The sequence below is a fragment of the Homo sapiens genome, chromosome 3, assembly GCF_000001405.40.
Source record: "Homo sapiens chromosome 3, GRCh38.p14 Primary Assembly".
In the NCBI taxonomy this organism is placed as follows: Eukaryota; Metazoa; Chordata; class Mammalia; order Primates; family Hominidae; genus Homo; species Homo sapiens.
The window spans coordinates 184,095,118-184,109,278 of record NC_000003.12 but is presented as its reverse complement, the minus strand read 5'-3'; the positions used below and the strand labels follow the sequence as shown (position 1 = coordinate 184,109,278).

The following is a 14,161-nucleotide window of genomic DNA, read 5'->3' as shown; positions in this document are numbered from 1 at the left end:
ATCTTGGCTGACTGCAACCTCCACCTCCTGGGTTCAAGTGATTCTTCTGCCTCAGCCTCCTGAGTAGCTGGGACTACAGGCATGCGCCACCACGCCCAGCTAATTTTTGTATTTTTAGTAGAGACGGGGTTTCACCGTATTGGCCTGGCTGATCTCGAACTCCTGATCTCGTGATCCACCCGCCTTGGCCTCCCAAAGTGCTGGGATTACAGGCATGAGCCACTGCGCCTGGCCAAGAAAGCTTTATAAATCCAAAAAGGTTTAAATTTATACACCATGCTCTCTGATCATAAACCAAGAAACTAGAAATTAACAATGAAAGGATAACAATAACAAAAATCCCTTATCCATAGATATGAAGACACATTCTCCCAAATAGCCTTTATTTCTATTTTTATTTTTTTTGAGACAGGGCCTTGCTTTGTCGCTTAGGCTGGAGTGCAGTGCAACAATCAGAACTCACTGTAGCCTTGATCTCCTGGACTCAAGCAATCCTCCCACTGCAGCCTCCTGCACAGTGGGACTGCAGATGTGTGCCATACATGCCTGGCTAATTTTTTTTTTTTCGTAGAGATGGGGTCTCGCTATGTTGCCCAGGCTGGTCTTGAACTCCTGAGCTCACACAATCCTCCCACCTCAGCCTCCCAAGCTATTGGGATTATAGGCATAAGCCATTGCATCTGGCCCCAAATAGCCTTTATATCAGAGAGAATTAAAACAAATTATGAATTGTCTACAAAGTAATGAAGAGGAGATCACCTTATTCTAAAACCTATGGGATACAGCTTAAGCTGTTCAGAGTAAAATCAATAGAAAGACTGAGAACACTTTAATGGAGAATTCAACTTGGAAAACCAGAAAAAGAATAACATGAAACATAATAAATTAGGAGAGTGCTAAAATGAGATCAGTACAAGATAATGGAAAAGATAAAAGAATCTACTAGTAAGAAAATATTTCTGAAAACACCTAAGAGAATTAAAACTTCTCAAACCCAACAGTTGTCACTTCAGTCTTGGGAGAGAGGATCGTTCCTGATGACATGGAAGCTTTATCACAATCAAAGAGTCAAAGAAATGTACAGGTTATGTTTTAAAACTATCAGTTCTGGTTAGTTTTCTTTCTTTTTTCTTTTCTTTCTTTTTTTTTTTTAATGGAGTTTCATTCTTGTTGCCCAGGCTGGAGTGCAATGGCACTATCTCGGCTCACTGCAACCTCTGCCTCCCGGGTTCAAGGGATTCTCCTGCCTCAGCCTCCTGAGTAGCTGGGATTACAAGCACACACCACCACACCCAGCTAATTTTGTATTTTTAGTAGAGATGTGGTTTCTCCATGTTGGTCAGGCTGGTCTCCAACTCCTGACCTCAGGTGATCCACCTACCTTGGCCTCCCAAAGTGCTGGGATTACAGGTGTGAGATATCACGCCCAGCCTCTTTCTTTCTTTTCACAGAGTCTCACTCTGTCACCCAGGCTGAAGTGTAGTGGCAGGATCTTGGCTCACTGGAACCTCCGCCTCTCGGGCTCAAGTGATTCTCCTGCCTCAGCCTCCTGTGTAGCTGGGATTACAGGCATGCGCCACCATCTCTGACTAATTTTTGTATTTTTGGTAGAAACAAGGTTTCACCATGTTGGCCAGGCTGGTCCCCAGCTCCTGACCTCAAGTGATCCACCCGCCTCGGCCTCCCAAAGTGCTGAGATTACAGGCATGCGCCACTGCTGCCCAGCCAAGTTTCTTGTATTTATTTATTTATTTTTATTTTTACTTTTTTTGAGACTAAGTTTCACTCTTGTCACCCAGGCTGGGGTGTAGTGGCGCGATCTCCACTCACTGCAACCTCCACTTCCCGGGTTCAAGCGATTCTCCTGCCTTAGCCTCCCAAGTAGCTGGGATTACAGGTGTGCACCACCACACCTGGATAATTAATTAATATTTATTTATTTATTTATTTATTTTGAGACGGAGTTTTGCTCTTGTTGCCTAGGCTGGAGTGCAGTGGCACGATCTTGGCTCACTGTAACCTCCGCCTCCTAGGTTCAAGCAATTTTCCTGCTTCAGCCTCTGGAGTAGCTGGGATTACAGGCACCCACCACCACACCCGGCTAATTTTTTGTACTTTTTGTAGAGATGAGGTTTCTCCATGTTGGCCAGGCTGGTCTCTAATGCCTGACCTCAGGTGATCCACCTGCCTTGGCCTCCCAAAGTGCTGGGATTATAGGCGTGAACCACTGCACCCGGGTGGTTAGTTAAGTTTCTACCCTACGACCTGACAAAGAGCCAGAAATCTCTGCAGAATTATTTATTGGGCAAGTCAGCGGACAGAAGAGGTATAGTCTGCTATGCAGATGACGTAAGAGGGACCTAGAACCATATGGTAGGACTGAAGGAAGCCAACAAAATGCAGGAACAGGGAGAAATGTCTGGGATTGGAATTGATCAGCAGGACCGGATTGGGATACATGGAATACAGCAGAGACTCAGTCATCTTTGGGGATATGATAGTTGGTACTCAGGAAAGGGGGGAGACCTGGCCAGTCCCTGGAGGCAAGAGAAGCTCCAGACTGAAGTTGGCAGGTGAGCACCTGCCTAGGTGTTCCAGAGGCATATGACGGTGATGATAGAGGAGGCCATGAAGAGCAGGTAGAGGCGGAAGAGCATGGCGTCCATCGCGTGGCTGAACTGCAACCACAGCTCCACTGAGTGCTGCTTCTGGGCCTCGTGTTCCCGCTGGGCCCTTGTCCATTCTGAGCCCCCTGTCAGCTCTGCCTCCGCAGGGCCCGGCATCTGCCCTGCTGATACCTCTGGCTCCTTCACACCTACAGAAAGACAGAGACTCAGCCATGGGCTGCAAATGTCACCTGTGGAGGGAGGGAGACAGGGAAGGAGGCAGGAGCAGAGAAGTGGAGGTGGGGGAAGAGGAATGTGACTTCCCTCACCGGGCAGGTGGGTGGGGGTGAGACCCGGGCCCTTATTTTCCTTCTGGGGCGCAGTGGGACAGCATCTCCCCGGGCTGTTGCAGTGGAGCAGCAGGGAGTGGAGCCACCGAGGCAGGGGTGGGGGCTGGGTGGTGGCCACGTGCAGCAGGTGGGTGATGAAGATGGTCTCCAGCAGGCTGCCCACCATCAGGGACAGGCACAGGGCGAAGTAGACACCTGGAGGGAAGGGGGGCCTAGTGAGGGCCAGAGGCACCACCTAGAATTTCTTCTCTTCCAATCCCACCCTGGCAGGCATACGGCCTCCTTTTTCCAAAATACCTCCCTTCCTGAGTTAGTTCCCACCCTTCTCTTCCAAAAGGTGGGAGGAGCCATACCGATGAGGGGGGTGCCACTGGTGGGGAGCAAGTCACTCATCATGAGCAGGAAGACGTTGTAGCCCAGCAGGAGCGTTATCTTGAATGGGACACGATTCCCACTTTTCACTGGCAGGTAGAAGCTGAGGGCATCGATGGCAACCAGAAAGCCACTGGGCACGAGAAGGTTTATGACATAGAGACTGGGCCTGCGCCTGATGGCCACCTGGTGGGGTAGGAGAGGGTGGTAAGTAGTTATGGGGTCAGAGGAACCCTCAAATCCAGGAATAGCAGTGACAATTTCTGTCTCTGCCTTTTTCTTTGGCCTGATATCACCCTGGGATCTGGAGCTGTGGGGAATGCAGCTTTAGAATCTGGTATAGAACCTGCAAAGAGACAGTTAGGCCAGAGCCCTGAGCTTTAGGATGAAGAATGAGGCTGGGAAGCCAGGAGAGAGGGTAACATTGGGAGACCCTGAAACTTGGGAGATACATATTTGATGGACATTCTAGGCAAGGGTAAAAGTGCGGGAGGAAGGAAAGAGTAAGAGCCTCCAAGCTCACATAGAACACGATCTGATCATACAGGTTGCCTCCCCTGGACAACTTTGCGGTGGCCTTGCTGAGGCCCAGGAGCTCCCATTCTCCATGGGTCTGAAGGATGTTCCGGGATGCGTCTGTTATTTCCCACACTTCTTTCTCCATGTCCAGCAACATGCTGTCCACTGAAAATGAGAACCATCTGAATCATTTTTCAAGGAGATAGTTTCCTGGTGGCTCAACTGCACTCTTTTTCCATCCTTTCTTTCAACAAATATTTTTGAGTGCCTCCCACATGCCAGGAAACTTGCCAGGAGCTTGGGATGGTAAGGAACAAGACAGACTTGGGTTCTGCCTTTATGGAAAATATTTTAGCATCCATAGAGCCTTATTCTTCTCCCCACCCATACTCCTTGGTCACCATTTACTCATAGTTTCTTTATATTTGTTGGTTGCTCTCATTCACCCCATCCCTGAGACCTCACTGCAACTTACCTGTGTAGAGGAATGAGCTGAAGGTGAGTGTGCAGTTCTGCTGGTCGAAGGGGAAGTAGAAGATGTCCAGGTTACAGATACTGTCCACCTTCATGGGTTTCTTATACCTGATGCGACCTTCATTACTTACATATGCTGTGAGGCCTTTTGGGGTCTTATCCACATCCATGCTGGAGGAGAGATAACGCAAGAGGCAGGTGCTGCAGTTTCTCTCTCTCTTTTTTTTTTTTTTTTTTTTTTGAGACAGGATCTTGCTCTGTCACCCAGGCTGGAGTAGAGTGGCATGCTCTCAGCTCACTGCAACTTCCATGTCCTGGGCTCAAATGATCCTCCTGTCTCAGCCTCAGCCTCCCAAGTAGCTGGGACTACAGGCGCACCACCAGGCCTGGCTAATTTTTTTTTTTTTTTTTTTTTTAAGAGATGAGGTTTCACCATGTTGCCCAGGCTGGTCTCAAACTCCTGAACTGAAGTGATCCACCCACCTTGGCCTCCCAAAGTGCTGGGATTACAGGCATTAGCCACTGCGCCTGGCTCAGTTTCTCTTCTTATCTCTCTGGTTGTTTCTTAGCCATCTAAAGACCACTTACAGTGGCCCCAATGGTAAACTGTGATCTCTGTGGCTACCAGGAGATGGGACTTCCCTCTGACCAGCCCTTGATACGCACAGTTCAATGATGAAAATGTCTGGGAGCCACAGGTTCTTGGCTGCCATACTCATCTTCGTGATGCCCTCACATTCCTCTGGGTTCCAGCTGATAAATGGGTTATCCCAAACCTAGAGCCCAGGTGGAGGAGAGGTGAGTCTCCTGCCTTTTAATTTCTTCTTTAAAAAAAAAAGTTATGAAATACTTCAAGCATATAGAAAAATATATAAAATGCTGTGACAAACATCTATGTATTTACAACCCAACTTTGTGGCATTAATATTTTATTAAATTTACTTGCTTTTTTTTCAAGAAATGAGAATTATAGATAAAATCGAACCTGCCTGGGACCATTCTTCATAAATTTTGATCAGCCAGCGCTGGTGGTCTGGGAACCACACTTTGAGAGTGAGGTTAGATGATTGTATTATCTTTCTCCAGCTCCTTCCTTCCTTTCCTCCAAGCAGGCTTTTCTTTTTTTCTTTTTTCTTTTCTTTTTCTTTCTTTTTTTTTTCTGAGATGGAGTCTTGCTCTGTCACCCAGGCTGGAGTGCAGTGGCGTGATCTCGGCTCACTGCAACCTCCACCTCTCGGGTTCAAGCGATTCTCCTGCCTCAGCCTCCTGAGTAGCTGGGATTACAGGTGTGTGCCACCATCTGGCTAATTTTTTTTTTTTTTTTTTTTTGAGATGGAGTCTTGCACTGTTGCCTGGGCTGGAGTGCAGTGGCGCGATCTTGGCTCACTGCAACCTCTGCCTCCTGGGTTCAGGCCATTCTCCTGCCTCAGCCTCCCGAGTAGCTGGGACTACAGGCGCCTGCCACCACGCCTGGCTAATTTTTTGTATTTTTAGTAGAGACGGGGTTTCACCGTGTTAGCCAGGATGGTCTTGATCTCCTGACCTCATGATCCACCCGCCTCGGCCTTCCAAAGTGCTGGGATTACAGGCGTGAGCCACCGCGCCCGGCCACCACCCGGCTGATTTTTTTATATTTTTGGTAGAGATGGAGTTTCATCATGTTGGCCAGGCTGGTCTCGAACTCCTGACCTCAAGTGATCCACCTGCCTAGGCCTCCCAAAGAGCTGGGATTATAGGTGTGAACCACCAAGCCCAGCCATCAAGCAGGCTTTTCAAGTTGGAAACTCAATTCATTTGCTTTTATTTCCCCCCATCCTCCCACACACCTTGTTTTCTTATCAATGCAATTAAGATATAAATTTTCCACTGGGTTATGCTTTGACTACATTCCATAGATTTTCATATGTATAATTTTCATTTCTAATTACTTCGTAATTTCTACTTAATTGCTTTATTTTCTCCTTTGCCTCAAATATTTAGAAGTTTAATTTTAAATTCCCAAGAAACAAGGTTTTCTTTTCTTTTTTTTTTTTGAGATGCAGTCTCACTCTGTAGCCTAAGCTGGAGTGCAGTGGTGTGATCTCGGCCAACTGCAACCTCTGTCTCCCTGGCTCAAGCGATTCTTGTGCCTCAGCCTCCCGAGTAGCTGGGACTACTGGCACATGTCACCATGCCTGGCTAATTTTTTGTATTTTAGTAGAGACGGTGTTTCACCATGTTGCCCAGGGTGGTCTTGAACTCCTGAGTTCAGGCGATCCACCGGCCTCGGCCTCCCAAAGTGCTGGGATTACAGGTGTGAGCCACTGTGCCCAGCTTTTTTTTTTTTTTATATACTTTAAGTTTTAGGGTACATGTGCACAACATGCAGGTTAGTTACATATGTATACATGTGCCATATTGGTGTGCTGCACCCATTAACTCATCATTTAACATTAGGTATATCTCCTAATGCCATCCCTCCCCCCTCCCCCCACCCCACAACAGGCCCCGGTGTGTGATAGGGTCTCACTCTGTTGCCCAGGCTACAGTGCAGTGGCACAATTATGGCTGACTGCAGCCTTGACCTCCCAGGCTCAAGTGATCCTCCCATCTCAGGCTCCCCAGTAGCTGGGACTACAGACGTGAAACACCATACCAAGCTAATTTTTGTATTTTTTTGTAGAGACGAGGTTTTGCCGTGTTGCCCAGGCTGGCCTCAAACTCCTGGGCTCAAGCAATCCACCCACCTTGGCCTCCCAAAGTGCTGGGATTACAGGCATGCGCCACTCTGCCTGGCGTTCATACCTTTTTGTGGTTAAAAATGTGGTCAGTTTTTGAGAATACTCTATGTGTGTGACAAAAAATTATGTATGGTCATTGATACAAAGTTTGACATGTTTATTAGACTAAGCTTCTTAATTGTGCTGTGAAAATCACTATATATTTACTCCTTTTCTACTAGATTTTTGTTTTGTTTTGTTTTGTTTTTGAGATAGAGTCTCACTCTGTTGCTCAGCCTGGAGCGCAGTGGCGCAATCTCGGCTCACTGCAACCTCTGCTTCCCAGGTTCAAGTGATTTTCCTGCTTCAGCCTTCCAAGTAGCTGGGATTACAGGCGCCCGCCACCATGCCCAGCTAATTTTTGTATTTTCAGTAGAGATGGGGTTTCACCATGTTGGCCAGGTTGGTCTCAAACCCCTGATCTCAAGTGATCTGCCCACCTCGGCCTCCCAAAGTATTGGGATTACAGGCGTGAGCCACCCGTGCCCAGCCTCTCCTTGATTTTGAAAGCAGTGTATTAAAGCCCCTCACCATTATGGTCGATTTTTCAATTTCTCCTTCATGTGTTTCAAACCAATGTTAGGGACATAAAAATTCATAATTATTATATCTTCGTTTAAAATCCTTTTTGACTGTAACTGTAGGGAGAGAATAAAGTGTTGTCCATACCATTTCCAGCCACAGGAATGATGACAAGAGGTGCAGCTGTTCATTCTGCCAAAAGAATTTCCTATTTCCATCATGTTGCCAGTAAGAAGTCTGTTCCATCTCCCCCACTTCCCATGCTTGTTTACCAACTCCCAAGGTATATAAAGGGGATATGTGATCCAGAACAAAAGCTCTATCCAAACCCATGTGTTAGGCTACGGACAGGAGAGTTCACAGCAGGGCGGGAGTAAAGTAGTCCTTCTCAACCCTCGCTGTATATGAGAATAACTCGAGAAGCTTAAAAATATCGATGTGGCCGGGCGCGGTGGCTCATGCCTGTAATGCCTGGGAGGCCGAGACAGGCAGATCACTTGAGGTCAGGAGTTTGAGACCAGCTTGGCCAACATGGTGAAACTCCGTCTCTACTAAAAGTACAAAAATTAGCCAGGTGTTGTGACGCATGCCTGAAATCCCAGCTACTTGGGAGGCTGAGGCAGGAGAATCGCTTGAGCCCAGGAGGTGGAGGTTGCAGTGAGCCAAGACCGTGCCATTGCACTCCAGCCTGGGCAACAGAGTGAGACTCCATCTCAAAAAATACAAAAACAAAAACAAAAACAAAACAAAAACGAGGCTTGGGTTTCATCCAATCAAAACCTCTGAGATTAGAACCTGGTCACTGGTATACAGCCAGAGAGAGAAGAAAAGATTCTCTTCCATGTGCTGTTATACCTCACCCTGCTGCCCTGGACAGAGCTTCTTTGAGATCCCCATGCCAGGCAAATGCCATCCAGCAGTGGTGGAGGAAGCAGAAATGTGGATAAGGGCTTTGGGGGGCCACTTTGCCAGGGGCTGGAAAAAGGTTAAGGACACCAAGGAGGGCTAGAGAGGTCAGCACTCACCACATCTAGGATGGCAGACATCGCGAAGGAGATGTTGACTTGGGTGGGGACGCTGATGTTGGTGACCGGACGGAAGGGCTTTCTATTAAACACTGAATTCAGAGCAGTGGGATCCGCCCCGTGCTGGCCAAACCCTGAGCAATTGATGGTGAAAGTAACGCCCCTTCCTGTAGTGGACATCGAATGTGTGAGATGAAGGAGAGCAACCCTGTGCTCCCTATATGAGAGGGGCCCCAAGGCAGGGCGTGGGGTCGCCCGTGATAAAATGAAAGCTAACATTTGTTGAGCACTGGCTGTGTGTCAGGTATATTCTAAGCCCTTTAAAAATGGATTACCTCATTTAATCCTCCCAATCCCCTATCAGGTAGATACTGCTTTACCCTCATGTAATAAACGAGCTAACTAAGGTGCAATAAGAGGAAGTAACTTCCTACAGTCAGACAGCCAATAAAAGGCAGAAGCCGGACTTGTTCTGAACCCAGGTTTGTCTGCTGCTGCTGTGCTATACGTCCCCAGGGATGAGATGAAGAATGGGGAGGGGATCACCGAGAGGGGTCCAGACGCTGGGCTCTTCCTTCCGAGGCCCGGGAGGATGGGGTGAGCTGGAATGCAAATTCTGGAAGCTAATGTAGCAAAGCTGAGCTAGAGCTCCAGCCTCCTTTCTAATATTTCTGTCTCCATGCAAAGCATGCCCAAATCTATATGCAAACTGTGCCTGGAATGTTGATAGTCATCCGATAGGATTACAGTCCCGGGGCCCCGGAGAGAACACACCTGTTTTCACCCCGACTGCCCCAACCTTCCTTCTTACTTGACTTTACCCAACTCTATCACCAGCGTTCTAGTTTGAGGCTTTAAAAAAGTTTTATTTTATTTTTAATGGACATATAATAATTGTGCATATTTCTTTCTTTTTTTTTTTTTTTTTTTTGAGACGGAGTCTCGCTCTGTCGCCCAGGCCGGACTGCGGACTGCAGTGGCGCAATCTCGGCTCACTGCAAGCTCCGCTTCCCGGGTTCACGCCATTCTCCTGCCTCAGCCTCCCGAGTAGCTGGGACTACAGGCGCCCGCCACCGCGCCCGGCTAATTTTTTGTATTTTTAGTAGAGACGGGGTTTCACCTTGTTAGCCAGGATGGTCTCAATCTCCTGACTTCATGATCCACCCGCCTCGGCCTCCCAAAGTGCTGGGATTACAGGCGTGAGCCACCGTGCCCGGCCTAATTGTGCATATTTCTTAGTTTGGGGTTTTTGGGGGTTTTTTGAGACAGCGACTCACTCTACTGCCCAGGCTGGAGTGCAGTGGCGCAATCACTTGGCCTCAGCCTCTGGGCTTAGGGGATCTTCCCACCTCAGCCTCCCAAGTAACTGTGACTACAGGCGTTCCCCACCACACTTGGCTAATTTTTTTAAAAAATTTTTGTAGAGACGGGGATCTCACTATATTGCCCAGGCTGGTCTCAAACCCCGGGGCTCAAGTGATTCTCCCACCTGGGCCTCCCAAAGTTCTGGAATTATAGGTGTGAGCCACCATTCCTAGCCACATAGCTATTTTTAGAAGTGTGGGTGGGATTTTTTTTTAATTTCTTTTTTAAATTTTTAAATTTTTTTTAGAGGGAGTCTCACTCTGTCACCCAGGCTGGAGTGCAGTGGTGCGATCTTGACTCACTGCAATCTCTGGCTCCCAGGTTCAACCGATTCTTCTGCCTCAGCCTCCCAAGTAACTGGGATTACAGGCACTACCACCACATCAGGCTAGTTTTTGTATTTTTAGTAGAGATGGGGTTTCACCATGTTAGCCAGGCTGGTCTTGAACTCTTGACCTCAGGTGATCCGCCTGCCTCAGCGTCCCAAGTGCTGGGATTACAGGTGTGAGCCACCTCACCTGACCCGTCCCACCCTCTTCTAACTAATAAATTTTTAAATTTTCTAGTCATGAAAATGTGTTGGAGGAGCAACAACTTGGACTGAGAGAGATGGTTGATAACCTCTGTGCCAAGGACATTGAGCCTTATCCATTCCCAACGTCACAGTGCTTTCCAGCAAATTCTTAAACCACTCTAAGAACAGTGAATATTCATTTGTCAACCCCTGTGTGCAAGTGCCCAGAGGAGCTTTCATAACCATTTACACTGCCTAGACCAGGTGTACAATTTGTGTCTCTTCCCTGTGCTGGCCTTTAAAGTCACCTCTGGTTCAGTCCTCTCCTGTGCCTCCTTATCCAAAGTCATGGAATAATCTAACGAGGAGAGATGACAGTTATTGGCACTTTTACCAAGTGCCAGACACTGTGCTTCCCTCCTTCTCTTACTGAATCCTCACAACCCTGCAAGGTAGGTTCTGTTTTACAGATGAGGAAACCAGAGCTCAGATAAGTTAAGCAGTGCATCCAAGTTTATAAAACTAGCAACGTGAGACACCAAGATTCAAACCCAGGTCCACCTGTCTCCAAATCCCATGTTCTTGTCTCTCTACCATGCTGACCCCCTGGAAGAGAAGCACATTCTACTTTCACCCTTGACCTGCTGCCTTCTGGCACCTTACCTAACCTAGAGCCCTTGGATCCAGCAGATGGACAGGGAAATTATGGCTAAAGGAGGTGGGCACTTTGCTACAATGGTTTGGGTTTCATACCTGTAGAGAGAAAGAATTACACCTGTGGATAGAAAGATGGATGGATATAGAAGCTAAATACAAGAGAAGACGATCGTGGATGGTTGTCTTCCATGTAGGGTACCAATGGAGAAAAGACAGACTTTTCAAGTAGTATTGGGAAAACTGGATATCCATATGTGAAAGGATAAAGTTTGCTGGTGTTGAACTCTATTTTTCGAGAAGGAAAATGAAAGTGCTCTTGTTTGGCATGTAACTGGAAGGGGATTTTCCGTCTTTCAGAAAAGGAAAGTCTATGTGGGCATCTTAGTAATGTAGCTATGAAAGAACTCTATCCATCTTAGACAATCTCTAGGAGTTGGAAATTTGAAAAAAGTTCCTAGATGTTCTACTAGAGAGAGGTCCTCCTTCTTCCGCCTTCCCCCATCATTGCTCCTTTCTTACCTTGAAGCAGAAAACCGAGAAGGAGGTAGAAGGAAAATCTTTTCCTGTGGAACCAGCTTCCTTCCATCTTCTTTGTCTAAGTTCTTCTCTGAACATGTACTGGGACCCAGGAATGCCCAGATTAAAGCAGCACAGGCCACACCTAGAGTCTGACTTTGAATACTAATAGCATTGGTTGACCACTGACATTTGTAACCTTCCTTCAAAGAGTGTTCTGGTTGTCTTGTTCTTGCCTATGCTTAAGGTTCAGTCTGCTTTTAAGACTTTATCTTAGTCTTAGGTATTTCACTGCAACGTAAATGGTTATAGATAGTTCATACGTGATCAACTTGCAGATCTTGGTGAGATCCCTTGGTCTGAAGACTCATCTCTTCAATTTTGGAAAATTCTCAGACATTTATAAATGTTTCACTTCCTCTATTTTTCTTATTAGACATGTGTTGAATGGTTTCCTTCTATCTTACATGCCTTTTATTGCTGTTGTAACAAATCACAAACCCAGTGGCTTAAATAAACACAATTTGTTATTTTACTGTTCTGTGGGCCAGAAGTTTGAAATGGGTCTCACTGGGCTAAAATGAATGTGTCAGCAGGACCGCATTCCCTCTGGAGGCTCTAGAGGAGAATCCATTTCCTTGCCTTTTCCAGATTTTTTTTTTTTTGAGACAGGGTTTCACTCTGTTGACCAGGCTGGAGTGCAGTGGCGCAATCGCGACTCACTGCAGCCTTGACCTCCTGGGCTCAAGGGATCTTTCCGTCTCAGCCTCCCAAGTAGCTGGGACCTCACAGGTGTGAGCCACCAAGCTTGGCTATTTTTTTTTTTTTTAGTAGAAATGAGGTCTCGCTTTGTTGCCTAGGCTTGTCTCCAACTCCTGGCCTCAAGTGATCCTCCAACCTTGATCTCCCAAAGTGCTGGGATTATAGACATGAGCCATTGTACCCGGCCTTTTCCAGCTTTTAAACTGCCTGTATTTCTTGGTTCATTATTTTTACTTCTCCATCTTCAAAACCAGCAACATCAGGCCAATGTTTCTCACAAGGCATCTCATCTCTCTGGTTCTTATTTGTTTCTCTCTCCTTCTTCCACTTATAAGAGCCTTTGTGATTGCATTGTGTCCATTTGGATAATCCAGGATAGTCTCCCCATCTCAAAGTCCGATAATTAACAACCTTAATTCCATCTGCAACCTTAACTCCCCTTTTCCATATAACCTAAGGTTCCAGAGATTAGGATGTGGACAAATTCTGGGGGCCGTTATTCTGCCTAGCACACCTCTCTTTCCTATTTTCTACCTCTTTATCTCTGTCCCTAATGATTTCTTCAGATCTAGCTTCCAGGAAAAAAATTCTCTCCTCAACTGTGTTTATTTTAATTAATTAATTAATTAATTTTTGATGAAACTCAGTAATTTTTATTGCAACTGGAAGACAATACATTGCAGAAACTTTATGGTAGGTCTGGGGAAAAGTGTTATTTACAATAGATTATGACATAATTTGTCTTTGACAATATGATTACATACGAAGAATGCAAAATGCAAGTATGGATGCCTTCCATATTTTATTTTATTTTGAGATGGAGTCTCATTCTGTTGCCCAGGCTAGAGTGCAGTGGCGTGATCTTGGCTCACTACAGCCTCCACCTCCTTGATTTGAGCGATTCTCCTGTCTCAGCCTCCTGAGTAGTTGGGACTACAGGCTTGTGCCACCACACCCAGCTAATTTTTGTATTTTTATTAGAGACAGGGTTTCACCATGTTGTCCAGGCTGGTCTTGAACTCCTCACCTCAGCTGATCTGCCCACCTCGGCCTTCCAAAGTGCTGGGATTACAGGAGTGAGCCACTGTGCTTGACCCTCAACTGTGTCTAATCTGTCCATCTAATCTGCCCACTGAGTTTTGGTTTTGTTTTTTTGTTTTTTTGTTTTTTAGAGAGAGGGTTTCACTGTCTCCCACCATGCCTGGCCCTCAACTGTGAGCCACCATGCTGGGATTACAGACGTGAGCCACCGTGCCCGGCCCTCAGCTGTGTCTAATCTGTCCACTGAGTTTTGCTTTTTGTTTTGTTTTGTTTTTTTTAGAGACAGGGTCTCACTGTCTCCCAGGCTGGAGTACAGTGGTATGATCATAGCTCACTGTAGCCTTGAACTCCAGGGCTCAAGCAATCCTGCCACCTCAGCCTCCCAAGTAGCTGGGACTACAGGTGCATGCCACCATGTGTGGCTAATTTTTTTTTATTGTTTCTAGAGACAGGGCCTTGCTATGCTGCCCAGGCTGGTGTTGAACTCCTGGCCTCAAGCAATCCTCCTGCCTCAGCCTCCCAAATCACTGGAATTTACAGGTATGAACCACTATGGCTAACCTTTTACCCATTTTTAAATCAAGTTGTTTTTTGTTGTTGAGTTTCAGGAATTCTATGTATAGTTTGGATATTAATCCCTTATCAGCTATATAATTTGCAAATGTTTTCTCCCATTTTG

At 46.6% G+C, this 14,161-nt stretch overlaps 1 protein-coding gene and 1 long non-coding RNA gene across 6 annotated transcripts; one reads left to right on the top strand and one right to left on the bottom strand.

The window, feature by feature from the left end:
* HTR3E (5-hydroxytryptamine receptor 3E) lies at positions 2,284 to 12,215 on the bottom strand. Of its 5 annotated transcripts, NM_001256613.2 has the most exons (9): positions 11,683 to 12,215; positions 8,628 to 8,794; positions 7,750 to 7,794; positions 4,988 to 5,097; positions 4,323 to 4,492; positions 3,852 to 4,012; positions 3,310 to 3,514; positions 2,936 to 3,151; positions 2,284 to 2,815 (listed from the first exon to the last, which is right to left on the bottom strand). In NM_001256613.2, the coding sequence occupies exons 1-9, from the start codon at positions 11,747 to 11,749 to the stop codon at positions 2,586 to 2,588; spliced, it is 1,371 nt and encodes a 456-aa protein (NP_001243542.1). In that variant the 5' UTR covers positions 11,750 to 12,215; the 3' UTR covers positions 2,284 to 2,585. The 5 variants fall into 5 exon arrangements, with proteins under 5 accessions (NP_001243542.1, NP_938055.1, NP_872395.2 ...); NM_198313.3 differs by lacking the exon at positions 7,750 to 7,794; NM_182589.2 differs by lacking the exon at positions 11,683 to 12,215 and having other exon boundaries at positions 8,628 to 9,100.
* On the top strand, positions 4,101 to 14,161 carry HTR3E-AS1 (HTR3E antisense RNA 1). The gene is made up of 3 exons (NR_133658.1): positions 4,101 to 4,153; positions 4,891 to 5,119; positions 13,929 to 14,161. It is a non-coding gene; the product is annotated as an HTR3E antisense RNA 1 (long non-coding RNA).

Coding starts and splice junctions, on each gene's coding strand:
- HTR3E (NM_001256614.1), bottom strand. CDS start 8,906: ATGTTAGCTTTCATTTTATCACGGGCGACCCCACGCCCTGCCTTGGGG. Junction 4,493..4,909: donor AGTTTACCATTGGGGCCACT/GTAAGTGGTCTT, acceptor TCTCTCCTCCAG/CATGGATGTGGATAAGACCC. Junction 3,515..3,851: donor ATGATCAGATCGTGTTCTAT/GTGAGCTTGGAG, acceptor CTACCCCACCAG/GTGGCCATCAGGCGCAGGCC.